At 48.7% G+C, this 26,645-nt stretch overlaps 1 protein-coding gene across 14 annotated transcripts, besides 7 other annotated features; it reads left to right on the plus strand.

Annotated features, from left to right (window-relative positions):
• DYNLRB1 (dynein light chain roadblock-type 1) lies at window positions 83-25,439 on the plus strand. Of its 14 annotated transcripts, none has more exons than NM_001382365.1 (5): window positions 83-126; window positions 879-942; window positions 10,749-10,824; window positions 19,109-19,276; window positions 25,062-25,439. In NM_001382365.1, the coding sequence occupies exons 2-5, from the start codon at window positions 940-942 to the stop codon at window positions 25,103-25,105; spliced, it is 291 nt and encodes a 96-aa protein (NP_001369294.1). In that variant the 5' UTR covers window positions 83-126; window positions 879-939; the 3' UTR covers window positions 25,106-25,439. The 14 variants fall into 14 exon arrangements, 5 of the variants coding, with proteins under 5 accessions (NP_001369294.1, NP_001369296.1, NP_054902.1 ...); NR_168131.1 differs by lacking the exon at window positions 83-126 and adding an exon at window positions 3,901-3,979 and having other exon boundaries at window positions 903-942; NR_168133.1 differs by lacking the exon at window positions 83-126 and adding an exon at window positions 3,901-3,979 and having other exon boundaries at window positions 903-942; window positions 10,753-10,824.
• Window positions 95-334: an enhancer, noted in NCBI's record as "active region_17766". NCBI's record gives its function as "activates an Ori minimal core promoter by ATAC-STARR-seq in GM12878 lymphoblastoid cells {active_cell/tissue: GM12878}" and the evidence as "EXISTENCE:reporter gene assay evidence [ECO:0000049][PMID:35858748]".
• Window positions 723-1,588: an enhancer, noted in NCBI's record as "H3K27ac hESC enhancer chr20:33104047-33104912 (GRCh37/hg19 assembly coordinates)". NCBI's record gives its function as "activates a minimal SCP1, AML or CMV promoter by ChIP-STARR-seq in primed H9 embryonic stem cells {active_cell/tissue: H9 hESC(primed)}" and the evidence as "EXISTENCE:reporter gene assay evidence [ECO:0000049][PMID:30033119]".
• Window positions 795-904: a silencer, noted in NCBI's record as "silent region_12836". NCBI's record gives its function as "represses an Ori minimal core promoter by ATAC-STARR-seq in GM12878 lymphoblastoid cells {active_cell/tissue: GM12878}" and the evidence as "EXISTENCE:reporter gene assay evidence [ECO:0000049][PMID:35858748]".
• Window positions 1,255-1,434: an enhancer, noted in NCBI's record as "active region_17767". NCBI's record gives its function as "activates an Ori minimal core promoter by ATAC-STARR-seq in GM12878 lymphoblastoid cells {active_cell/tissue: GM12878}" and the evidence as "EXISTENCE:reporter gene assay evidence [ECO:0000049][PMID:35858748]".
• Window positions 7,419-7,918: an enhancer, noted in NCBI's record as "H3K4me1 hESC enhancer chr20:33110743-33111242 (GRCh37/hg19 assembly coordinates)". NCBI's record gives its function as "activates a minimal SCP1, AML or CMV promoter by ChIP-STARR-seq in naive H9 embryonic stem cells {active_cell/tissue: H9 hESC(naive)}" and the evidence as "EXISTENCE:reporter gene assay evidence [ECO:0000049][PMID:30033119]".
• Window positions 10,100-11,299: an enhancer, noted in NCBI's record as "CDK7 strongly-dependent group 2 enhancer chr20:33113424-33114623 (GRCh37/hg19 assembly coordinates)". NCBI's record gives its function as "activates an origin of replication core promoter dependent on BRD2, BRD4, P300/CBP, MED14 and CDK7 cofactors, with strong dependence on CDK7, by STARR-seq in HCT116 cells {active_cell/tissue: HCT116}" and the evidence as "EXISTENCE:reporter gene assay evidence [ECO:0000049][PMID:35650434]".
• Window positions 23,229-23,338: a silencer, noted in NCBI's record as "silent region_12837". NCBI's record gives its function as "represses an Ori minimal core promoter by ATAC-STARR-seq in GM12878 lymphoblastoid cells {active_cell/tissue: GM12878}" and the evidence as "EXISTENCE:reporter gene assay evidence [ECO:0000049][PMID:35858748]".
• Window positions 25,440-26,645: the final 1,206 nt, after the last annotated feature.

Genomic DNA, 26,645 nt, shown 5'->3' on the forward strand with positions numbered 1-26,645 from the left:
CACAGATGTGAAGTGCCTTCTGCTAGGTAACGCGAGGCGGGGCTGAGCTCGGATTCTAAAGACTCCCAGGCCAGCCCTAACCAATTCATCTCCGAGCTTGCACGGCATCTTACCCGGAGACTCGAGGTACCTGACTCCAGCCCCACCCCAGGCCTGCCCGATCCCGAAGCGCATTTTGGCCCTGGGCCTCTCTCTGGCTCAGTCTGGGCGCAAAGCGGGTCTCAGCAACCGTCCCACTTGCCTTCATACCCTCCCACCACGCTCCACTCAGGGACTCCAGAACCAGCTTAGACCTCCATTGAGAGCTGAAAGCCTCTTCCGATACCGAGAACCAGCACTGAAAGCCTCTTCCGATACCGAGAACCAGCATGGTTTTTGTTTTGTTTTGTTTTAGTCAGGGTCTCTTGCTCTGTCGCCCAGGCTGGGGTGCAGTGGCGCAATCTCGGCTCACTGCAGCCTCGAACTCCTGGTCAGGCGATCCTCCTACCTCAGCCTCTGGAGTAACTGGAACTACACGAGCGCGCCACCACGCCCGGCTAATTTTGTTTATTTTTTAGTAGAGAAGGGGTCTCTCCATGTTGCCCAGGCTGGTCTCGAACTCTTGGGCTCAAGCAATCCTTCCGACTCGGCCTCCCAAAGTGCTGGAATTACAGGCGTAAGCCACCGCGTCCAGCCAGAACCAGCATCTTTTCTGCACGGCTGGAGTTGGGAATTTTCCACAGCTTAGCGCACTGCTCCTTAGCTTTTCGCTTTGCCACAGTGGAAAGCAGATTTTCCAAGAATCCTGGCGGAGCCAAGATCGGCTCGCCCGCCCCCGCCTCACGCTGGCTCCTGATAGGCAGCTAGAGCTGTCCGTTTTGACAGAAACCTTTGCGCAGGCGCAGAAAGGCACAGGACTCGCTAAGTGTTCGCTACGCGGGGCTACCGGATCGGTCGGAAATGGTGAGCGTGCGCCGGGGTCTTGTGGCTGGCGGCCGCCCACCACCCCACGCCAGGCCTTCAGTCTTCCGAGGATGAGGGGATCTCAGAGCTCCGGACAGGGAATCGGTGGTGGCTGGGCGTGGCCGGGCCCGGGCCCCAGCCGACTTGAGGGTGGAACCCGGCGGCGGAGGCCTCTAAAGCCTGACCGAGGCGGGGCCGCCGGATCCCGCTGCCCCTTGACCGGAAGCGGGAGCCCAGCCTCGGCCAGGAAGAGATGATGGGCGAGGGGTGGGCGGCGGCCCTGCAGCCTAGAGTTTTGGGGCCTTGGTGCGCGATGGCAACCCTGGCAACGTTTCCCGGGAGCTCAGTTTGTGGCAGGCTCTGCCAAGCACTTTATGTATCTTGTATTTCCTCCGCCTCCTCCCAGCTCTGTGAGGTAGATACAATCTTTAGTCCCATTTTGTTATACATATCTGTTATTCAGCGCCCCGAGAAGCCAAGTGCTTTGCCCCAGGAAATAGTGGAGATGGATTTGAACCCTAGAAGCTTGACGGCCGCCACTCTGTCGGCGTGGTTCTTTCTAGCCGCTGGGACTGGGTGCCAGAGTCAGGAACGGGCGGGGTCTGCTCTTGGGGATCCCAAAGCTTGCTTTCTACCTTGCTTGCTGCAGCTGTGGGTTCTCAACGCCGTTACAGGTTTTGTGTTTGTAATCCTCACAGCTTGGGCAAAATTTGAAAAAGTTTCAAATTTTAAGCCATGTGAATATATTACTTTTTCAAAAATCTTATTTAGAAATCTAGAGCTTGTAATAAAAAAATTGAAAAAAGAAACCGTGTCATCACCTAGAGGCAACCACTTACAGTAGTCATATGACTTCTAGTCTTTTTTGCTTGTTTTTGGTTTATACAGTTTAGCCCCTATTGAATGTGCAATTGTGGGTTCTGTGTTTTTCATTATTACACCACAATATCTCCACATCATTACAAACATGTAATAATGCTTCAAATATGTATAACTTCATTTTTCACATCACTTCTTAAGCTGTAAAAAAAATTGATATATAATAGTTGTACACATTTATGTTGTAGATATACATGTAATATTTTGATACATGCATATGATGTGTAATGATCAAATCAGGCTATATTTATTATAGAATATCCATCACCTTAAACATTCATTATTTCTTTTTTTTTTTTTTTTTTTGAGATGGAGTGTGTCTCTGTCGCTCAGGCTGGAGTGCAGTGGCACCATCTTAGTTCACTGCCACCTCCGCCTCCCAGGTTCAAGTGATTCTCCCGCCTCAGCCTCCCGAGTAGCTGGGACTACAGGCGCCCACCACCACGCCCAGCTAATTTTTTGTATTTTTAGTAGAGACGGGGTTTCACCGTGTTAGTCCGCCTCAACACGGTGGTCTCGATCTCCTGACCTCGTGATCTGCTCGCCTCAGCCTCCCAAAGTGCTGGGATTACAGGCGTGAGCCACCACGCCTGGCCCACATTTTCTTTATCCATTTACCTATTGATGGACGCTAATTCCATAATTTAGCTATTATGAATAGTGCTGCAATATGAACATGAGGATGTAGGGATGCCTTTGATGTACTAATTTCCGTTCCTTTGAATAAATACCCAGTAGTGGTATTGCTGATTTATGGTAGGTTTTTTTTTTCGTTTTTGTTGTTGTTTTTGTTTTGTTTTGTTTTTTCGATGCCTTTGTCGAAAATCAGTTGGCCGTAAATAAGTGGATTTATTTCTGGGTCCTCTATTCTATTCCATTGGTCTGTGTTTTATACCAATACCATGCTCTTTTGGTTACTATACCTTTCTGGTATATTTTGAAATCAGGTAGTGTGATACCTCAAGCTTTGTTCTTTTCGTCCAGGCTTCTTTTGGCTTTTCTGAGTCTTTTGTGGTTCCATACGAATTTTAGGATTGTTTACAGGTAATACTTGCACACAGTAAAAAAATAAATGATGTAAAAGGATCTAAGTGAAAAATAAAATTCCCACTCTCCTAACCCCCAGTCTCAGTCTCTCCTCCTTTAGAAACAACCATTGTTAGTTTCTTTTTTTTTTTTTCTTGCAAACTTGACCCTCCTGGGCTCAAGTGATCCTCCTGCCTTAATTCCCCAAGTATCTGGGACTACTGGTGCACGCCACCACACCCTGCTAATTTTTTTGTATTTTTTTTTTGTAGAGTTGGGGTTTTGCCATGTTGCCCAGGCTGGTCTTGAACTCCTGGGCTCAAGTGATTCACCCACGTTGGCCTCCCAAAGTGTTAGGATTACAGGCGTGAGCCACCACACCCAGCTGTTAGTTTCTTATGCATCTATACAAGCACTTATATGGCCCCCCTTTTTCTTACTTAAACTGTAGCTTTCTAGAACCTGTATTATGCTACTCCGTGGTTATACTCATAAAAGCAATGCAAATTTAGATGCCTAGTTTAACTTTTTTTTTTTTTCTTTTGAAACAGAGTCTTGCCCTTTCGCCCAGGCTGGAGTGCAGTGGTGTGATCTGAGCTCACTGCAACCTCTGCCTCCCGGGTTCGAGTGATTCTCCTGCCTCAGCCTCCGGAGTAGCTGGGACTGCAGGAGCATGCCACCATGCCTGGCTAATTTTTCTATTTTTGGTAGAGACAGGGTTTTTTTTCTATTTTTAGTAGAGACAGGGTTTCACCATGTTGACCAGGCTGGTCTCAAACTCATGACCTCAGGTGATCCGCCCACCTCCGCCTCCAAAAATGCTGGGATTATGGGCGTAAACCACCATGTATGTTAACAATTTGAAGCAGTACCAGAGGATATAATATAGAAAGTTTATGTGGTCCCCATCTTACTACCCCGTGGCAACTTCTGTTGGCAGTTGGGTGTGTTTCCTTCCAGATGTGTTTGGTGCATAAGCACATTTATGTATAAGCTGTTTATTAGATGAAACTGGAATATATATATATTTGTATATGTTAACTTTACTTTAAGGCTGAAGTGGAGAGATCGCCTGAGCCCAGGAGGTCAAGGCTACAGTGAGCCGTGACTGCACCACTGCACTCCACCCTGGGTGAGAAAAAAATAAGAGAAAACAGAAGTTGACTTTAAGATATATATGTATATATCTTATTCTGCAACTTGTTCTGTTCACTTAAAAATATCACACATTTTTCTGTGTTATTATATGCAGGTCCACTTCATTCTTTTTAAGGTCTGTATCGTATCCTAGTCCCATATGTACATTTAGGTGGTGTATAGTTTTTTTATTCCAGACACTGCTGCAGTAACTGTTCTTGTCTTTTTTGCACTCATGCTAGTGGTTATGTAGGATAGATTTCTACAAGTGGCACTTTTGGCTTGCATATTTTACATTTTAGGTGGAAACTGACCTTTAGAATAATGATATAAAAATCATCTATAATTGGCCGGACACAATGGCTGACGCATATAATCCCAGCACTTTGGGAGGCCAAGGTGGGCAGATCACTTGAGGTCAGGAGTTGGAGACCAGCCTGGGCAACATGGTGAAACTCTGTCTCTACTAAAAATACGAAAAGTAGCCGGAAGCCGTGCATCTGTAATTCCAGCTGCTCAGGAGGCTGAGGCACTAGAATCGCTTGAACCCGGGAGGCGGGGGTTGCAGTGATCCGAGACCAGGCCAGTGCACTCCAGCCTGGGCAACAGAGCAAGACTCTGTCTCAAAATAAATAAATAAAATTAAAAAATAATCACATATAATTCTCCTCGTCCAGTTTCACTGTGCCACATAACTATTTTCATCTTTGTATGTTCTCCTTCCTCTTTTGTTCACATATGCATATTTTCCAAGATAATGCATGCTGAGTTTTGGGGGGATTTTTTTCTTTTTTTGTTGTTTTAATATCCAAAAACATTTAACCTTGTTGTCATATCATCTTTGTGATTAACTACTTAGTGACTACATAATACTCGGTGAAATAGTTGTACCATAATTGGCCAAATATCTTACCTGTGTACATTTGGGTTGCTCCCATTTCTTTTTGGTTTGTTTGTTTTAGAGATGGAGTCTCACTCTGTTGCCCAGACTGGAGTTCAGTGGCTCAATCTCAGCTCACTGCAACCTCTGCCTCCCAGGTTCAAGTGATTTTCCTGCCTCAGCCTCCTGAGTAGCTGGGATTAACAGGTGTGCATCATGACGCCCAGCTAATTTTTGTATTTTTTAGTAGAAACAGGGTTTCGCCATGTTGGCCAGGCTGGTCTCAAACTCCTGACCTCAGGTGATCCGCCTGCCTCAGCCTCCCAAAGTGCCAGGATTACAGGCATGAGCCACCATACCTGGCTGCTTCCATTTCTTAATTAGTAGAAATAGTGCTGTGATGATGCTTCTGTGAATATCTTGTTTTGTTTCATTTTAACTTACTTATTAGATTATTTCCTCAGGATAAAATTCTTAGGAAAATAATTTCTGAGGTGGAAGGACCAGTGCTTTTATGGTTCTTGCAATATATTGTCCTGTAGCTTTGTCAAGATTGTATTGCCCTTGCACCTGCCAGTTTTGTAATAACAATGCCAGCATTTAAAAATAAACCTCAGCATTGCTATAATTTTTCATTTCTGTCTTTTTTTTTTGAAATGGAATCTCACTCTGTTGCCCAGGCTGGAGGGCACGATCTCAGCTCACTACAAACTCTGCCTCCCAGGTTCAAGCAATTTTCCTGCCTCAGCCTCCTGAGTAGCTGGGATTACAGGCCCATGCCACCATGACGGCTAATTTTTGTATTTTTAGTAGAGACAGGGTTTCCCCATGTTGGCCAGGCTGGTCTCAAACTCCTGACCTCAAGTGATTCACCCACCTCAGTTTCCCAAAGTGCTGAGATTACAGGTGTGAGCACCACGCCCAGCTGAATTTTTCATTTGTTTGTGAGGGATGATGACCATGGTTTGATGTGATTGTAATTTCTCGTAGGCATATTTTCTACTAGTATTCTTTTGTGCACTACCTACTAGAGACTTGCTATTGTTCTTAGTCATTTTGTGTTTTTTTTTTATTTATTTTGTCTGTTATATTTGATGCAAATACTTTTCTATCCTGTTAGATTAGTTATTCTTATACAGAAGTTTTATGTTTAGTGGTCAAATTGGTCATAGTTCTTTGTCAGTCATTTGCTTCCAGTGGTCATCCCTCCTATGCTGAGCCAATGGATCCTCCTGGATCTTTATTGCTGCTTGTTTTTCCATGTGTCAGGAATGTGCATCTGGGAACTAGAGAATTGGGGAACCTTGTCTCCATCATCCCATTGCCCAGAGTGCATTTCTTTCTCATCATTTGATTCTTGGCTTAAAGATGACATACTTATGGCCGAGAATGGTGGCTCACGCCTGTAGTCCCAACAGTTTGGGAGGCCAAGGCAGTAGATCACTTGAGCCCAGGAGTTCAAGACCAGCCTGGGCAACATGTCGAAACCCCATCTCTACAAAAAATTAGCTGGGTTTGGCAGTACACATCAGTAGTCCCACGTGTTCGGGAGGCTGAAGTGGGAGGATCACTTGAGCCTGGGAGGTCAAGGCTGCAGTGAGCCATGATCGAACCATGGCACGCCTGGGTGACAGAGTGAGACCCTATCTCAAAAAAAAAAAAGATTACATCTCCTCAGGTGTTCCTGACCACATTAGCCAGAGTAGCATCCCTTGCCCCACAGCCTAGTCCCTGTATCCTGCAAGAATCTTGCTCACTTGTTTAAGTCTCTTTCACCAGAATGTGAGCTCCCTGAGGGCAGGGACCTCCTCAGTTGTGGTCACCAGTATATTCAGCTCTTCTGTTGACCTGCAGTGTGTTCTTGGGCAAAACCCTTCTCCTTTCCAAACCTGTTTCCCCATCACTAACATGGAGATCATACTAACCCATGAATGGGAGTTTCAGAAGAGAGCATGTGTCTGAAAGCAATATATGACCCATAGTAGGCGCTGAGTAGGGAAATTATACCTATGTGTCCTCCCATTCCTGATAGATGTGTGAGATGTGTGTTTACTTTTCTTTTTTCTTTCTTTCTTTTTTCTTTTTCTTTTTTTTTTTTTTTTTTTTTTGATGAGTCTTACACTCTGTTTTCCAGGCTGGAGTGCAATGGCGCGATCATGGCTCACTGCAGCCTCGGCCTCCTGGGCTCAGGCAATCCTTTCACCTCAGCCTCCCAACTAGCTGGGACTGCAGGCACACGACACCACGCATGGTTAATTTTTTTTATCTTTTGTAGAGACGAAGCTTCACCATGTTGCCCAGGCTGGTCTCAAACTCCTGGGCTCAAGCAGTCTACCTGCTTTGGTCCCCCAAAGTGCTGGGATTACAGGCATGAGCCACTGTGCCCAGCCCATGTTTACTTTTAAACAGCCAGATCTTAGTATCTGGTTCTCGTTGAGTTTCAGATCACCTAAACCTTAGCTCTTTTTCACACTGTGGACTGTGAGGCCATGTCCCCCTCCTGTACTTAAAAAGGTTGATTTCGTGAAACATAGTTGCAGAAATGCTTTTTATTTGTTCCTTCAGTATTTATTGAGCCTATCCTATGCGAGGTACTGGGGCTATAAAGTCTGGTCTGGTTTCCTGATTCCAGGGTGCCTTGCGTCTGGAGGAGGAGATGAACGTGACCTAAACAGTTGCACTGCATTGTGGTCAGTGCTGCGAAGGCTGGGGGCCTCGGTGCCCAGTAGAGGGGCTGATGTCAGAGAAGCCTCCTGCGGGCTCTGGAGCTGAGTCCAAAGGGTTGGGAGGTAGTTACATCAAGCAGTGAGTGAAGGAGGGAAGCTTGTTTCCTTCAGACCGAGAGCAGCACCTGGCAGGGCAGGGGTAGGAGGCTTCCGCAGGCTGTGTTCGCCCCCTGCTGTCCCTTCTCCCCACAGCAGCCAGAGCCGTCCTTTGGAAGCATCAGGTCTTGTCACTCTTTACCTCAAAACTTGACAGTGGCTCCATGAATCACGCCCAGTGAAAACCAAGGTCAACACTTGATCTGCCAGGCCGTCTGTGGTCTGGTCCCGGATCCCAGCTGCTGTCCCTCCCCTGCTCCCTGCCCTTCAGCCACAGTGGCCCCTTTGCTTTTCCCCCTGAACATACCGGATGCTTGCCCACCCCAGGGCTTTTGTGCTTGCTCTTGGTGCTGTCTGGAACACTCCCCAGAAACCGGCATGGCTAACTCCCTCATTTCCTTCAGATGTCTACTCACTATTGCCTTGGTGAGCCTTCTCTGATGATGTATTTCACATTCCCATCACCCCTGCATTCCAGGTCCCGTTTCCCTGCTGTAGCTGACATTTATGTTTTACTTCTTTTTGCTTATTTAATGTCCTTTCCCACAAATGTCAGTTTCGTGACATGGGATTTTTGTTATATTTTGTTCACTGCATCATCACAGGCCTAGAACAATGTCTGGCATATGGAAGGTTGCCATGTAGTTACTAAATGAATAGCAGTCTTAAGAAATTTCATCTTTTTCATTTCAGCCCCATTCTCCAATCTCTGGGGGCTGTTTTGGATTTAGATTCTGACATCTCGGTTTTCACTTTCTTTCCCCTTTCTTTCTGGGTTGATTGCAGATTGAGCTGTCTTAAATTGTCATCCAAGTTATTCTTACATCTTATTCTGACAACATTGAGTGTATCAGAGCCTTGTGGCCCCTGTATCATAGACTTCTTTTGGATGCATAGATGGGGGGTTAAAATGTTTTTAAATAGAAACAATACAGTAGAATGAAAAAGGGTGTTTTGAAAAAAAGAAAATAAAACCTTTCTATAATTCCTTGCCCTTAATGTGGCTCTTTTTTCATAATCTCCTGTAACCTTTTGTTTTCATGTGATTGCAGTCACCAAAGCACTTTATTTTTGCATTTTGCTGTTTTCACTTAACATTATAGCACACACCTTTTGTGATGGTATAACATGGTCTAATCACCATGGTTAATATGTGTATTCCTATTAGTGGATGTTCCATAATCTACTTGGCCTTTTCCCTAATTGTTAGGCATTTTTAGTTCTTTCTGCATTCTGCTATTGCAAATGTCACTGTACTTTGGTCCATGATGAATTTCCAGGAGGGCGAGCAGGGTAGAATGAGTACTGTCCAGTGAGTACTGTCCAGCAGTGACCACTATTGTGCCCCACTCCTCCCTTTCAGAATAGCCGTTGGCATACAGTAGGAGCTCAGTGAGTGTGTTGACTGACATTCGATCTCATACACGCATGACCCACTGCATTGTACTCTCACGTCCACAGAGCCCTGTCATTGTACCCAGGCTCCAGATCTTAGAGGCATAAGTCCATTTTCCACTTTTTTTTTTGTTTTTTTTTTTTGGAAATGGAGTCCCAGTCGCCCATGCTGGAGTGCAGTGGTGCGATCTCGGCTTACTGCAAGCTCCACCCCGCGGGTTCACGCCATTCTTCTGCCTCAGCCTCCCCAGTAGCTGGGACTACAGGCGCCCGCCACTACGCCCGGCTAATTTTTTTTGTATTTTCAGGAGAGACGGAGTTTCACCGTGTTAGCCAGGATGGTTTCTATCTCCTGACCTCATGATCCGCCCATCTCGGCCTCCCAAAGTGCTGGGATTACAGGCATGAGCCGCCGCACCGGCCCCATTTGCCACTTTATAGGAGGAGCTTGTTTACCCTTCCCTCCAGTGTTCGAGAGTATTCTGTCACAGGGGAGTGGGTGGCAGTGACTGGATTGTCAGCCTTGTGCCTTCCAGAAAAACAAGAATTCATTGTGCTGTCTCCACCCAGTGTTGAGGATCCCCCCCCCCATTTCTTTTGGTGAATGGAGCCTCTGTTTCTAACAACTCTCAGCCTTTGAGGGGCTTCTGACTGGATTCTAGACCAGTCTGGAAGGGGCCGCCTGAGAACAGGTATACCTCAGGGCTAGTTTCCATCCACAGGAAGAATTAAGTCTAGTTCAGTTAAGCGGTGTTTATCACACTTCTACTCCACAGACCTTTTTAGAGTCTCTAAGAAATGGACATAGTACCTAATGCATGTCCCAGAGAGGCACACCCAGGGATTTGGGGAGTCACACGTAGGCAGACTCCATCAACTGGGGGATCAGTAAAGGCTTCGCGGAGGAGATGATGTCTTAGATGGTCAAGAGGAGTTTGTTGGATTTCAGCAGAGAAGAGGCCTTGTGGGATAAAAAGATGTAGAGATAGGGAGGTGTGTCACGGAGCTGGAGAGTGGAGGGAAGGGTAGGACAGGAGTGACAGGAGGCCTGGCATGGCAGAATGAGGACCCGAACTGCGACTGCCCCTCCACTTACAGATGCCATATGCAAGAGTAGCCCACCAGAGCAGTTTCTGGGTAATCAAGATTAATGAGCCCCTTCCCAAGGCACACTTCTTACAGCTGAGTGCTGTGCATCACACTATCTCAGATGCCTGCCGCAGTCACTGAGTCTATCCTCATGTGCTGTTTGGGCCACAAATGACAAAGTGTTGTCTTCCTGTTAGATACTACTCTCTGAGTTTTCTTAAATCAACAGAGTCCCATCCCCCAGCTATGCCAAATATGTGAGTCATGGACATGTATATACATGGGAATGGTGTTTATATTCTGCTCCCCAACAGCTGAGGAGGGTGGGATAATAGTGCCTGGTGGGCAGAGCGCCAGGAGCAGCCCTGTCCTGCGTGGGGGTGTGAGCGGATGCTCTGGGCACTGGTGGTGGCCGGAGGAGCACGTCAGATCAGCCTGGGGAACTTTGAGGGTGTGCCAGGTGCCTGAGTATTACTTGTTTGTTGTTGGAAGACAAACGTATGATTCATCTGCCTGGGGTATGAGGAAGTTAATCCTGCCTATCGGCCTCTCCTAACCTTGGTCTTGTTTTCTGGCAGGCAGAGGTGGAGGAGACACTGAAGCGACTGCAGAGCCAGAAGGGAGTGCAGGGAATCATCGTCGTGAACACAGAAGGTACGCCCTCCCTCCCGCCATGACCCGCACCCAGGCAGGCCCAGAAGCAGCCATAACACAGCATAGCACTTGCTGTTCACTAAGCCCTTCATGAATCTGATCTAATTTTAGGCCTTTTTAATTTTTAACACCTCCAGTGTTCTTTTTTTTTTTTTTTTTTTTTTCATTAAGGCTAGTCAGGTGAAGCAGCGGGAGTGGAGAAGGGACAAAGAAATCGGTAACTGGTTGTGAGCAATTAGTTGTAAACTGCATTCAGACCAGCCACCTCCAGTGTCCTCACAAAGGGAAAATCCGCTCAATCCCACCACCCTGACAGATCACACTTCAGTCTTCCATGCTTACTCAGCCTCGTCCAGCACAGTTCCAGAGGACCATAATCATAGTTGTTACCCTTGGGCATATGTTTACACTTGAGCTTTTTAAAATATTGCTTCATGGTTTACATAAACAAATTAAGTGCCACGACAATGTTCATTAGCCCAATTTTGTTGTTTCTACTTTTTAGTAAATCCATTAAGTGGATATTACATCCCCATTTGTGTTGATTCTGCTTTATTGGCTGGATAGTTCTCTAGTTAACTCCTCTGTGCCTGCAGCTCCCCTCCACCCCAACAACCCTTTCTGAGTGGTATCTGTGTAGGTAGAAGTGTACAGATACTAACTTTCCCAGACTGCACTGGACAGGAAGGGAGCTAGCATTTATCACATACCCGCTCTGTGCCAAGATTCTGGCTGGTGCAGCCCTGTCGTCTGCATTTTGCAATGGAGAAAACTGAGTCTAGAAATGTAATTGATCGGCCTACCATCACACAGTCGAGATTTAAATCCAAGCCCGTCTGAGTGCGCTTGGGTGCTTTCTCCCGCGCCAGGCTGTAAAGAACCAGAATGGCCCCCAGACCCTCACGCTCCAGGCAGCAGTAAGGACAGGGACTCTGGAATCCAGCAGTTGTGAGTTTGAATTCTGCCTCATCTCCTGACTAGCTTTGTGACCTTGGCCAAGTCGCTTAAGCCTGTAAATGGGGATAATACTTATATCTACCTTATAAGTTGAAGAGTAACTAAGAATGAACAGCGTAAAGCATTTAGTACAGTATCGTCACCATCTGTTTTGAGCTGTGAGGCATTTGTTCATACAAACTCTGATTTACCTGATTGGGTTCCCCTGTTGGGTTGGGAGCATCCACATGCTTCATGCCTCTAGGCCACAGTGTTTCCCACACGTATTCATTCTTTGAAATCACCCGGGGGTCCTGTTAAACATAGCTTTCCAGGCCTCTGCACCAAAAAGTCTAATTTATTAGAGCCAAAGCAAGACCTGAGGAATCTGTGTGTTTACGAAGCACCCCAGGAGATTCTTATGATCAGACAGGTTTAGAAAATTCTGCTTTAGGGGATAGATTCTAATCAGAAGAGGCTGCAGTGAGAGCCACAGGCCTAAGATTCACAGCAGTTCTGTCTCCTTCCGAAGGCCTTCCCTTGGAGAGACTGCCTCAGATCATGTTTTCAGGGCTGTGGTCCTTAAACCCAGGGGTCCTGTGCTACCCTGGGAGTAGAGGTAGAGGCTGGGGTTCCTGTCCTCCACTTCAGTCAGAGCACACACACTAAGAACCATCAGTTCATGTTTCTACATTGGTTTTAATTTGGAAAGGGGTTTGGCCAATTTAAAAACTACCCTACTGGAGTAGCCGGCCGGGCGCGGTGGCTCACGCCTGTAATCCCAGCACTTTGGGAGGCCGAGGCGGGCGGATCACGAGGTCAGGAGATCGAGACCATCCCGGCTAAAACGGTGAAACCCCGTCTCTACTAAAAATACAAAAAATTAGCCGGGCGTAGTGGCGGGCGCCTGTAGTCCCAGCTACTTGGGAGGCTGAGGCGGGAGAATGGCGTGAACCCGGGAGGCGGAGCTTGCAGTGAGCCGAGATCCCGCCACTGCACTCCAGCCTGGGCGACAGAGCGAGACTCCGTCTCAAAAAAAAAAAAAAAAAAAAAAAAAAAAAAAAACTACCCTACTGGAGTTTACAAAAATAACATAAACCAGTTTATGTGAGACTTGGGAGGAGAGGAGTCCACTGAGACACTGCTGCTGATAGAGCAGCGTGACCAGTGAAGGAAGACCAGGACCATGCCTGACTCACCTCTGTTCCCGTGTCATTCACCACAGGCCGCAGAGTCAGGTCAGTGAACGTTAAATGAACCAACCACAGTGGGTGTTGCCATCAGCCCCTTTGATTTGGTAATTCTTGAGGACTGTGTTGAGAGGAAATAATCCCAAAGGAAAAAACCTGAAATTTTTGCAAGCATGTTAGATGCCATAATCAGTAGATTAATAATTGTTATAATGGCTGGGCGTGGTGCATGGTTGCTCACACCTGTTCTCAGCACTTTGGGAGGCCATGGCAGGACGATTGCTTGAGCCAAGGGGTTCAAGACCAGCCTGGGCAATGTAGTGAGACCCCGAACTCCACACAAAAAAAAGAAAAATTAGGCAGGTGTGGTGGCACACGCCTGTAGTCTTAGCTACTCAGGATGCTAAGACAGGAGGATTCCTTGAGCCCGGGAGTTCAAGACTGCAGTTTGCTTCAAGGCTTCTTGCTCAAAGCTTTGATTGCACTCCAGCACAGAGCAAGACCTTGTCTCTTTAAAAAAAAAAAAACAAAAAGTAACAATGAAGTGTGTAGGCCCTTCAGTGCCCAGCCCAGGGGCTGCTCCCACAGGCCAGGATTTACCAGCAGCCCTGTGGGTGGAAGTGGTACAGCAGTGCCTGTGTCTGTCACATGTCTGGTGTGCTGCCAGGCACGGTTTGTTTATGTGTTTCTTGGCTGCCTCGTAGGGTAGACATTATTGCGGCCACCTTTACAGACACACTTGGACATCCCAAGAGGTCAGGCCATGCCCGGTTGCGGGGCCCCCCAAATTCTCTAGCCCAGTGTATTCAGTGGGCTCTAATTTGTTCAGTGCTCTTAGAGAGCCTCTTATGTGTGTCTTCAGTCTAGGCCTTGTTTTGGAGAAGCAGAGTTCTCAGCAATTCCTACTTAAGCAGAATGAAAGCCATCAAGGGCAACAAAGTGGAGGTGCTGTGTCCTTGGATAGAATGTTGATTTCCAGCCAGGCGTGGTGGCTCACGCCTGTAATCTCAGCCCTTTGGGAGGCCGAGGCGGGCGTATCACCTGAGGTCAGGAGTTCGAGACCAGCCTGGCCAACATGGTGAAACCTTGTCTCTACTAAAAATACAAAAATTAGCCTGGTGTGGTGGCGGGCACCTGTAATCCCAGCTATTCGGGAGGCTGAGGCAGGAGAATCGCTTGAACCAAGGAGGCAGAGGTTGCAATGAGCCGAGATCACACCACTGCACTCCAGCCTGGACGACAAGAATGAAACTCGGTCTCAAAAAAAAAAAAAAAATGTTGATTTCCAAGTCAGCAGAGCCCTGGCAAGCACAGAGCTAGACAGAACGTGCTCCCCAGCCCTGTCTAGTTCTGATTAAACCATGTGGTCATTTCATTTACAGGAGGCTGGGAGCCCTTGGGACACTGTGGAGACAGGAGCAGGCCCCCTGCTCAGGGCTGCCCCTGATCAGTTGGGTGGCCTGAGGCAACTCCTTTCCCCGCTTCAGCCCTCAACTGCCTCGAGTCCTGTGATGGTCCAGGGAATCTCTTTTGGGCACTTCTTGCTCTAAGACCTGAAAGACTTTTGTCACTAAGAGAGAAACTGTCTTCTGGGACTGGACATTTTGACTCCAAGGAGACAACCCCAGGGGCCAACAGCCCCAGCTGTGACCCCCAGGCTTCCACATGAACTCACAAAGGAGAGGCCCTCATTCTTGCCTTAAAACTGCCCCTAAAGCCAAGCCTTTTCACTGGGAAGCCCTAGCTGCTTACCTTTTGGATACTAGTGAGTGCTGCTTTTTTGTATACTCATGGGGCTGATTGCACCATAGCTGAGAACGTGGAATGCAGAATGAGCCCACCTGGCTTTGAATCTGGGCCCTACTTAACTTATCAGCTATGTGGTTTTGGGCATAAGCCACTTTCTCTGTTAAGTTTTCTCATTTGTAAAATGTGGGTCATAATTCTGCCTTCCTCTAGGGGAAGCTTTTAGAATAGTGCCTGGCATGAAATGCCTATGAATGTCTCAGTTAGTGTGTGTGTGTCTTTAACTTGCGTCCCATTCTCAGGGCCCCCACATCAGTGTCTCGTTTACATCTCACACAGTGACCCTGCGAGGCAAGGGTTTGCCCAGTTTGCAGATGAGAAACCCAAAGCTGAGAGAGGTGTGGGGAACCGCCCAAGGTCACCCAGCTGTGAATGAACGTGGTCAGAACACAGAATCTGAGTTGGTCACACTTCCCACTGATCCATGGGGCCTTTAAGCCCTCTGGAAGCTTCCATTAAAGATGATTATTTGAGGATAATTGTATTGGGATGCCTATGATCTTATCTAGGGTTTTCCTACCCATCCCCAACATTCAGCTCAGCTGCCTCTTTCTTGAGGACACCCTCACTGATCACCCCAGCCCAGCCAGAGTGGTTGCTCCTGCTCCTGCCCCTGAACCTATGACATACCCAAGTCCCAATACTTTCGAGCCATCTGCCACTGCCTTTTGACATCTCTGCCTTGGCTAGATTCAAATGGTGTTTCATAATAAAAGTCTGAGTTTAAGCAGCTTTACCGAAAACGCAAGGGAAGTTTCATTCCATTTATACTTCTCCAGACCCCCTGCCATCCTCTGCTGCTACCCACACAGGCAGAATAAAAGGCTTAAATGTGTAAGTCCCATGAAGGCAAAGATTGGTCTCTTGTGTTCACTGCTGTCTGTAGTACTTAGGATGGTGTTGGCCCAGAGTTGGTGTTTGATTAAAGTATCTGTTGAATTTTTTAGATGTTTTTTATCACTTGAAGGGACTGGGTGTGGTGGAAGGGCCTGGGGGTGTATCCCAGTAGATCAGAGCCCCAAGTTAGAAATCGTGCCTCCCAGATAACCAGCTACTTCTGCAGGCTACACAGTGTTCATTTGTGAAGACAGAGGCAGGGAGCAGGTGGCCTAATAACTAGGCCGTCTCAGGTCTCCTCCAGCTCCAGCATCCAGTGAATCTGGAATTAACCTTTGTCCTTGTTTTAATTTCTTCCCGGTTTTGGTCCTTGGCCCTGTACTTCCACGTTTTCTTTTGTTTTTGGAGTGAGCCAGTAGATGTTTAGTTTCTTGTCTGTTTTACACAGCTCCCGCTTATATGGATGTGATCAGACTCCTCATGCCAATATCTTTCCAAACTAGTAAAAGTAGACCCTTTGACCACTCACTTACCAATAGCAATAAAAGCTTAATGCTGTCTCTCTAGGGACACTAGTGAGCAAATCAGACTTGGTCAAGCCCTTGGGGAGCTTACATTGTGGTGGGAGATGGAATAATGATCACTTTGTAATGGTGCAGTGTCAACCTGGAAAAACTGCGTGGTGCTGGGATGGTGCCAGTGGGGATGGGAAGTGTCACCCGAAGATGGAGACCTCAGGGACCAAAGTGGAAATCATGAGTGAATAGGGGAAGGAAAGAAAGTTCCAGGCAGAGGGATCTGTGAGAAGGTGGCTTCGTGGTGTGTAAAAAGAGAAGGTTAGGGGTTCTGATCACCCAAACCATGCCAAGTCTTGGGACTGTGGGCCTCTTACCATTGGGGCCCAAAGGTGAGCTAAGGGGCGGGTTCCCGGCCAGGTAGCAAGAACAGCCAACCCAGGGCTCTACCTGGGCTCTGGTCCTGGCCCTCGGTGGGTGGGCTGTGTTTTAGCAAGGCCCTTGCGGGTTTAAGCAATAGTCACATCCCTTCAGATGAATGGAAATGGCATTTACTGTGTGAGTGGTGTTTATTAACATTTATTAAGTGTACTCTTGCTAAACATTCTTAAATGAATTAAGCAGTATTCAGCCCGCCCAGCAGCACTTTGAAGCACAGATATTATTTAACAGATAAGGCAGTGGAAGCTCAGGAGGTTTCATCACTTGCCCAAGGCTGCATAGCTGTGAAGGGCAGAGCTGGGTGTAAGCCTAGGTCAATTTGGAGCCCAGGACCCTATTAATCTGGTCCATAGCTGCCCAGCCTAGGACACGACTAAAGGCATTCATCAGACTGACTTGCTGGGTGGCAAGAAACTGGCCCAGTCTTGTTTTCTTAGGCCCCCAGGAATGCGAGGGTGGGCAGAAAGAGTCGTGGTGGCTCCTACCCCATCGCCGCCCCATCGTGGTTAGATTATAATGGACGCATTCATTACTGCCATCCTCAGGAAGCTTCAACTGTAGAGCAAGGCTTTGCGGGGCCCTGCCATGCACATTGTGGCCATCCAGGAGCCAGCAGCAACCCTGGTGATCTGGTCATCTTGTCTCTTACAGACAAGTGATGACTGCAACCTGTTCTCCTGACTTGACTTGGCTCAAAAAGCCTCTGCGACTCACCTGCTTCTTTTGCCACCATGTCCTCTTCTGCCCACCCTCACATTCCTGGTGCCCTAGGATGACAAGATTGAGCCAGTTTCTTTACCACTCAGCCAGTCGGCCTGATAACTGCCTTTGGCCGATCCCTAGACTGAGCAGCTGTGGGCAGGATGAGCAGGGTCCTGGGCCCCAAAGCTGGCCACTTCTATGTGAGGAGCTACTTGTGCCACATTCCTCAAGTGCCTGTCAGCTGGCGGGCTCTTGGGGTCCCATGGATGGAGTCTTCTGCTCATATGTCACAGGCAATTCACAGGCACCTGCTGGCCCAATCATGACCTGCGGTGGCTCAGTGTGAGCCGCATGCCTCACCTCTGTGACAGTAGGCACCGTCCAGTGAATAAGTCCACTTAATGGTTCATCTCAAGGAAACAGTCCTCAAACAAAAGGCTTGGTATACGGTGATGTTCACTGCCCAGTTAATTATACTGGTAACAAACCCAGCCCCTAAGTAGCCAACAGTAGGGGCTGGGGAGGTCTGTGGACCGCTCACCTAGTGGGCTCTTTGAAAGAGATAGCAGTGCTGTTTACAAAGGGTCAACATGTTCCATGTTTCTGTGCCTGTTGTACAAACATAGAAACATGCTTTAACTTGGCACGGCCATGTGGACAGTGTGTTTATAGCTGCTACCCAAGCCTCCCTTGGGTGGAAATCATGATGGTTATGTCCCAGCACAAGCTGACTTTTTCTCTTCTACTTTTTAGTGTGTAGAAGTTTGTGGCCGGGCGCGGTGGCTCACGCCTGTAATCCCAGCACTTTGGAAGGCCGAGGCGGGTGGATCATGAGGTCAGGAGTTCAAGACTAGCCTGGCCAGTATGGTGAAACCCCGTCTCTTCTAAAAATACAAAAATCAGCCAGGTGTGGTGGTGCGCGTCTGTAGTTCCAGCTACACAGGAGGCTGAGGCAGGAGAATCACTTGAACCTGGGAGGCGGAGGTTGCAATGAGCCGAGGTTGCACCATTGCACTCCAGCCTGGGCGACACAGCAAGACTCCATCTCAAAAAATAAAATAAAATAAATAAAAGAAGTTTGTAAGGCAGGGTGCGATGGCTCACGTCTGTAATCCCAGCACTTTGGGAGGCCGAGGTGGGCGGATCACCTGAGGTCAGGAGTTCAAGACCAGCCTGGCAAACATGGTGAAACCTTGTCTCTACTAAAAATACAAAAATTAGCTAGCTGGGTGCTGTGGCACGCGCCTGTAATCCCAGATACTTGGGAAACTGAGGCAGGAGAATCACTTGAACCCGGGAGGCAGAGGTTGCAGTGAGCCACTGCACTCCAGCCTGGGCAACAGAGCAAGACTCCGTCTCAAAAAAAAGAAATTTGTAAAAGCGCTTCCTGGTTTCAATTCTAAGCACTATGAATGAGAGTCTCTCTTTTTTTGGACAAAAAAATAAAAACCTGATTTTGTTAGTTTTTTAAATCTGTGTCCCTGCATGAATCAGAGCTAGTCTCTCCTTTTACTGCTGGGAACCAATCAGCCCTGGGAAAGGAACCCAGGAGTGAGCCAGCAGGCCTGCATGTGAATCCTGGCCCCACTGTGTGACTACAGACAGGTCGCCTCATCACTCAGAGCTCCTGTTGCCTCATGGGCGAATGAGATGGTGTTGCCACCCACAGAGTAGTTCTAGGGCATGGCACTGGCATGCTTCGGGTGCTCAGCACCATGCCTGTCACATAGCAAGCCCTCTGCGGATGGTGGCATTGACTGAGAACTGCTATTCCAGTTCTCCCCAATTAGGGGTGTGGGTGGGAGCTCGGCAGAAGGGGCTCCACATCCTCTCAGTCTCCGTCTGCTCTCCCCTCAGGCATTCCCATCAAGAGCACCATGGACAACCCCACCACCACCCAGTATGCCAGCCTCATGCACAGCTTCATCCTGAAGGCACGGAGCACCGTGCGTGACATCGACCCCCAGAACGATCTCACCTTCCTTCGAATTCGCTCCAAGAAAAATGAAATTATGGTTGCACCAGGTAAGGGGTCTTCTACCTCCCCATGTAGGAACAGACCTCATGGCACATTCTCTGTGGCTCATCAGGAGTCCTGGCACAGTGGTGTCTCCAGAGGATCCAAGCAGGGCCCGAGGAGTTGAAGGAATTGGGTTGTTGCCTCACTGCCTAGCCAGCCTCCAGCTGGTGTCCCATAGCAGATCCTCCCAGGGACCGGCCCCAGAGGGTAACCCCAGTCTCCTGAGATAGACAGACACGTGAGCATCATGTGTGTCTCCCCTTCCTTGATAGGAGAAAACTCAAAGGCATTTGGGACATAGAGGAGGGTGTGGCCAGGCCTGTCTGGGGCTGTCTGCAAAAGCTTCCCAGAAGAGGGGACACTGGAGCTGAATCTTAAGGGCACCAGGAAGCAGTGTGAGCAAGGCGGAGGGGCGGAAAGCCACGTTTGGAAGAATATTCAGTGATTCTTCTCCAAAATGTAAAGCAAAAGTACTGTATCATTTTATCCTTGAAAACATGTTCTCTGCCCACTTGTAAAGGCCAGGCCTGTCTTTAGGCCCCTTACAGCCAGCTTTTCCTGCCGCACGGGAGCAGATTGCTTTGTTTCCTTTACGCGAGGTGCTTGCCTTGCATTTGGGGGCTCTGTGGTGCAACCAAGGCCTGTGTTTAGTCCTTAGGATCATTCTCAGGGTGAGGAGATGCTCATTCTGGGAGGAGCCCACAAGGATGGGAGCACAGGAGCGAGCAACAGAGCCACATCTCCTGCCCGGCTCCCTCGCTCTCACTCATGGACTGGGGTGGCAGGCAGAGCCTCCAGGGCCGTCTTTGCATTATTACTTTTTTCTCACTCTGCTTTTTCTTGGCTGAGCCACATAGTTGAGTGTGCGTGCGTCACGTATGCGCGTGATGGTGCACTCCCGCTGCAGTGCCGCTTATCTAGGGCATCAGGATGTGAGTGGGGAGGAGTGGGAGGTGAGGCTTTGGTCCAGTTTAGAAGGGGCCACAAACACCTAACTCAGTTGCATGGACTTGATCTTGCAAGCAGAGGTTTTTAGGGCAGGAGGTGATAGGATTATGATTAGGACCTGGATAAAGGAAGGCAGTGGGGGGTCTGGGGACACTGAATGCTCTGGACTGGCAACACAGAGGGCAAGGAGGCTGGCCACAGAGTTCTGAGGTAATTTGATGGGAGGTCAGCCACTCCCTGCAGCAGACCAGCATAGGTTCTGTCACCAGGCCTGGAAGGATGGGCAGGAAAGAACTATAGAGCCAGTCACAGCAGCCCACAGGCTCCCTGGGACACTCCCTAGAGGGGTGGGGACAGAGCAGTTCAGTCACAGAGAAGAACATAAGAATAACTCCAGAGTCTATTATTCCAAAATCACGCTTCTGTGTGTAATGCCTGATCCATCGGGGAGAAAAGACTGCAGGAGGCACAGAATCTGTTTTCCCAGCTTTGCTTCCCACAAGCATGACCCTGGGCAAGTCGCAGAACACCTGCAAATCCACATCTGTAAAGTGTCGAGTAGGGGACTGTGCTGTGCTGATGTCCTGAGCCACCCTGCCTGGTTGAGTGTGTTGACCTGGGTTGGGGGAAAAAGCCTTGGAATCAGATTTAAACTGCAGTTCCTCCCAGGTTGTCATGTTGTGTGACTGCAGAGGACAAAGCTTCACTCCCCAAAAGTCGGGCCGGGATGGAGCGCAGTGGCTCACGCCTGTAATCCCAGCACTTTGGGAGGCCAAGGCAGGCGGATCACAAGGTCAGGAGTTCAAGACCAGCCTGACCAACATGGTGAAACCCCGTCTCTACTAAAAATAAAAAAATTAGCTGGGCATGGTGGCGCACACCTGTAATCCCAGGTACTTGGGACGCTGAGGCAGGAGAATCACTTGAACCCAGGAGGCGGAGCTTGCAGTGAGCTGAGATCGCGCCACTGCACTCCAGCCTGGGAAACAGAGTGAGACTCTGTCTCAAAAAAAAAAAAAAAAAAAAAGTTGGGCCGGGAACAGTCCCCCTGCTCACCCTGTGCACAGCAGACCTTGTGCTCCCCAGTGGCCCACTGGGAGTTCAGGGTATGGGGGAAGGGAGCAAATTACTTGGTCTCCAAATCAGACAAATTCTCCACAGACAGTGTCCCTTGGCATAAAGCTCCTGAGAATGTCTCCTCTGGAAGGACAGTGTCATCTGAAAGCTCCTGGCCATTCAGGTCTCAACTTGGCAGCGGCAGCGTCTCCAATTTGGCCCTGAAGACCCACAGGCATTCAGAGCCCATGACTGTGGTTGGTGCTTGAGTCCAGAATGGGCAGCTCCCAAGTAGGGGGTTCTCCTTGGGGTTCACAGGCCTGGAGATCCCACAACCTTGTCAGTGGAGGAGGATGAGGTGGCCAGTCCCTCACCTTGGCAGCACTGCAGGGGGCGCCCGTGCTCTCAAGTCACACTGTCTCTCTCCCACACACATGCGGCGCTGTGCTGGAGGACGGTGGCGCGCTGAGCTTGTCTTACAGAGCATGCTTCTTTGGCTCAGCCTCACTGCTGCCACTCAAGTCCTTCCTCGTCACCAAATGCTTACCTGCATTTTTAAGGCCATCTACTCCACTTGAGAGTAAGTTCTATGAGGGCAGGGGCTTGTAAGCACATAGTAAGCATCTAGCAAATATCCATTGATTAAATAAATGAATGACTCTGTAAACCTCCCTCCACTGCTGACACCCCACTGATATGGGTCAGAAGTGGGGTCAGCAGTGGGGACGGGGTCAGGGATGTCTGTGGGGCATAGTTTTAGGATGAAAACCAGTGATTTGACACTTTGACATACCCACTTTTATGTGGCCAAGAAAAAATAATTGGGTTTTGGTGCCAGAACTCCTGTGGTCAGGAGCCACCACGCAGAGCCTAGGAGGCCCTGGCGCTGAATTGCCTCAGGATGGCTACAGAACACAGGACCCAGGGGTGGCCACAGGCGTAGAGCAGGCCTGGCTGCTGCTGGAAGTGCCCGTTTGAGACTGTAGTTAGCACCCTACACATCGTGGGCAGCCTGGAGCAGCCTGGCCCGGGAGGGAGATCCATGCCTTCCCACCTGCCTGACCTGACCCCATCCAGCTGAGGTACTGCTTCCCAGGCTGCAGACAGCAGCAGGTGTTCCAGACAGTGTGGCTCTCCACATGTGTGCCACATTCACCCCACCCTGGCCCAGAACCGCCCACGTGAACAGGCTTTTTTTTTTTTTTTTTTTTGAGACAGGGTCTAGCTCTGTTGCCCAGGCTGGAGTGCAGTGGTGCGATCATGGCTCTCTGCAGCCTCAGCCTCCCTAGTATACTGCTGGGACCACAGGCATGTGTCGCCACACCCAGCATTTTTTTTTTTTTTTTTTTTTTTGGTAGAGACAGGGTTTCACTATGTTGCCCAGGCTGGTGTCAAACTCCTAGGCTCAAGCGATTCTCCCACCTCAGCCTCCCAAAGTGCTGGGATTATATGCGTGAGCCACCATGCCCGGCCAAGACATTTTAACACAAACTTTTGTTAGCTGGACATGGTGGCACCAGTATTCCCAGCTACTCGGGAGGCTGAGGCAGGAGGATCGCTTGAGCCTGGGCAGTTGAGGCTGCAGTGAGCCATGATCACGCCACTGCACTCCAGCCTGGGCAACAGCGAGACCCAGTCTCAAAAAACAAAACAAAAAAAACAGACTTCTAGTTTTCACTTATTAACTTCACTAGTATTAAAGCTGAGGTAACTAACTCAGCCTACACAACCTTCAACACACACTACCTCTCACAAAGCACCTGAAGTGGTATTGTTGCATTTAGGGCTTGATGATTTGGAGTAAAAGACACTGATGTTACCGATTGTGCCTATTTTTATCAGTGGCTTGTTAATTATTTCTGTTTTCATTAGTGATTTTTATGTATGCAGATTGGTTAGCCATGAAACTGTTAGTCACTTCATTTCTGTTTCTTCCCTGTTGCAACAGCCCATCTTCGTGGGAAGAACCAAGCTTTAGGCTTGGCTCTGAACAGCCACAAAGTGACTTGGCTGAGGTCCTGCCATTTCGCTCATGCTCAGCAGGGGGCAGCAGACCAGGGCAGTTCAGAGTATGGGGTCAAACCCAGGTCCCTGTCCCCACTCCACCTGTGGATTTACCCTGGATTGGGCAAGCCCTTTAACTCTCTGAGGCTCCGTGTTCTCAGAGTGACTCGAGGATTCACTGAGGTGCCGTGTGAGAAGTGGGTGGCCCAGACCTGGACACAAAGAAGCCTTGATCAATGTTTGCAGTTTGATTAAGTGGGTAAATCTGCATATATAAAAATCACTAATGAAAACAAATAATTAACAAGCCACTGATAAAAATAGGCACAATCGGTAACATCAGTGTCTTTTACTCCAAATCATCAAGCCCTAAATGCAACAATACCACTTCTCCAGTTACCTCTTCAGTGAAACGGGAGGCACTCAGGCTCACCTCCAAGGACTTGGACTTGCTGTGATTTAATGGTGGACATTCCTCCTTACAGGGCCAGATCCCTGGAGCTGGAATCCAGGCTGCTTTGTCCCATTTTGAAATTTTCTTATTCAGAAGGTTCTGGAAAGCCAACAAATTGAGTTTGTGACAGAAATTGACATTAACTGGCTGGGTGTGGTTGCTCACACCTATAATCCCAACACTTTGGGAGGCTGAGACAGGAGGATCACTCGAGCCCAGGAGTTTGCAACCAGCTTGGGCAACATAGTGAGACCCCATCTGTACAAAACTTTTTTTTTTTCTTAATGGAGTCTCACTTTATCACCCAGGCTGGAGTGCAGTGAGGCGATCTGCAACTTCTGCCTCCCAAGTTCAGGCAGATCTCCTGCCTCAGCCTCCCAAGTAGCTGGGATTACAGGCACCTGCCACCAAGCCTGGCTAATTTTTGTATTTTTAGTAGAGATGGGGTTTCACCATGTTGGCCAGGCTGGTCTTGAATTCCTGACCTCAAGTGATCTGCCCACCTTGGCCTCCCAAAGTGCTACGTGAGCCACCACGCCTGACCTTCTACAAAAAACTTTTTAAAAATTTACCCAGGTTTGGTGGGGTGTGCCTGTAGTCCCAGCTACATGGGAGGCTGAGGCGGGAGGATCACCTGAGCCCAGGAGGTCAAGGCTGCAGCGAGTCATGATCGCACCACTGTACTCAGCCTGGGTGACAGAGCTCTTGCTCTGTCTCGCGGAGGGGAAAAAAAGAGAGAGAGAAAAAAGAAAATGACATTACCCAAGTCCAGTGAAGTATGTCGGAATTCCATCTTTGACACTAAGTAGCTGGGTAACCTTAAGCCAGTGGTCCTCCCACAGCCTACAACATCAGCATCACCTGGGAACTTGTTAGAGAAATGCAAACTCTTGGGCTTTGCCCCAGCCCCACTAAATGATGGTTCTGGGCGTAGAGCCCTCCAGGTGGTTGGGATGCCTGCTAGCTTGACAACCATGGCCTTAGGCAATTCATTGGAGCTCTTTGAACTGGAGTCCCCCCACCTGGAAAACAGGGGTGAGAATCCTGCCTACCTGCTGCCACTGTCGTGGGGAGGATTAGAAGAGACGACACACTGTAGAGTGCCCGCTGCCCGGTATGGGGAGGCCCCTCTTGCAGGAGCCCCTGCAGGAATCTTAAAGGTTTATCTTCCGTTTTCCCAGCATTTGGAGATGCTGAACGTTGATGCTTTTTGTTGCTTTCTCCCCTTCCTCATTTTATGGTTAGTGATTTAATGGTTTATTTGCTTTCTTGTGTGTTTTTCTCTCATTTTACATTTAGTGATTTTTTTTCATTTTTCTCTTTTGCAGATAAAGACTATTTCCTGATTGTGATTCAGAATCCAACCGAATAAGCCACTCTCTTGGCTCCCTGTGTCATTCCTTAATTTAATGCCCCCCAAGAATGTTAATGTCAATCATGTCAGTGGACTAGCACATGGCAGTCGCTTGGAACCCACTCACACCAATCCAGTGACCGTGTGTGGGCTGGCGGCTCTTCTCCCCCACCAACGGAACCCCTGTGTGCACCAACCTTCCCCAGAGCTCCGGAGCGCCCTCTCCTCACTTCCAGGTTTTGGAGCAAGAGCTTGCAGGAAGCCCGCACCCAGCTTCCTTCTGACCTTCAGTTCACTTTGTCGCCCTTGGAGAAAGCTGTTTTTCTTTAACTAAAAATAACCAAAATGCTTACCCGTCTGTTGTGTCTTTAAACACTAGGTTGAAAAGGCCTCACTCTTCCTGTGTAATCACACGTCGGAGGCCCGGTTGCCTCCTCCAGCCCTGGTGGGAGATGATGTTCATGGTGTCCGAGAGGCCTGCTGCTTCTTGTGCCTGTGGCCATACTTAGTGTAGCTTGGTGTATAATTGGTGCTCTGGTTTCTGGGCCTCTTGGCCCTAGTCCTTCTTTTACTGTTTCCCACTGCTGCCAGTGTTGAAAGATTTTTTCTACTATGCTGCACTGGGGAAGAGAGTGGTACTTACTGAGGACCCGGAATGCACCTGGCGTGTAACATACAGTAGCTCTCACCTCACGGTACCATCTGTAGACAGAGTGTTAGGGCCACCTCAGACATGGGGACTTGGGTTTAGAATGGCTTACCTACGCCCTCACAGCCAGGACACAGGTCTCAGACTCAAATAGCCTTGCTCTTCCCACACTATCTGCCCCAGAAATCCTGGAGGGCCCCCGTTCACCCAAGTGAGCCTGTCCTGGGCAAACATCTGCCCCGCAGACTTGGAGCGCAGGGGTCCTCTCGCCGAGTGCTTCCCAGAATTCACCTGCACTCAGACTCCCACCCACCCCTCATCCAGCCACACTCTTGTTTTTTTCCCTCTGAAACCACATGTATTTAATTTTATTAGGGTTTTTCTTTTTATCTTTTGTTTCCTGTTACACAGGAAAAAGACTCGGCACCGTGTAGTGTGAGCCTGGAAATCCCCGTCCTTGTCCTCCCTGCCCCAGAAGTCACCACTGTCTGTGAGTTCTTCCATCTAGCAATCATAATTGCCCAGATTTTCCAGTGAGGCTTCCTCAATGCTATCGGAGGAGTGAAATACATACTCTTTGGAGTTGAGGGGTGTAGTTTATAAGGGCGTGGCAAAATTTCTTCAAAAGCTACTTTAATGAAAGATAATAGGCATTTTCCACTCTATAATATATTCGTGATTATCTTAATATAAAAATAACCCTCTCAAATAGTTTTCCCTGAATCTTCAAGTAACGTTGGTTGTCTGAGAAACACTCTGGTTTCCCCTGTCCCTGCGGACCTAGGAAGCGCCCCCTGAGAGTGGGTGACTGCAGACCCCACGTGGTGATTCTCTGCTAAGTTCCGTGCTGCAGACGAACGTGGGGTGTGGCCAGCAGCGTCACCCTTGTGTTCTCGGAAGCTGGGATCC

Source organism: Homo sapiens, chromosome 20, assembly GCF_000001405.40.
Source record: "Homo sapiens chromosome 20, GRCh38.p14 Primary Assembly".
Lineage (NCBI taxonomy): Eukaryota > Metazoa > Chordata > Mammalia > Primates > Hominidae > Homo > Homo sapiens.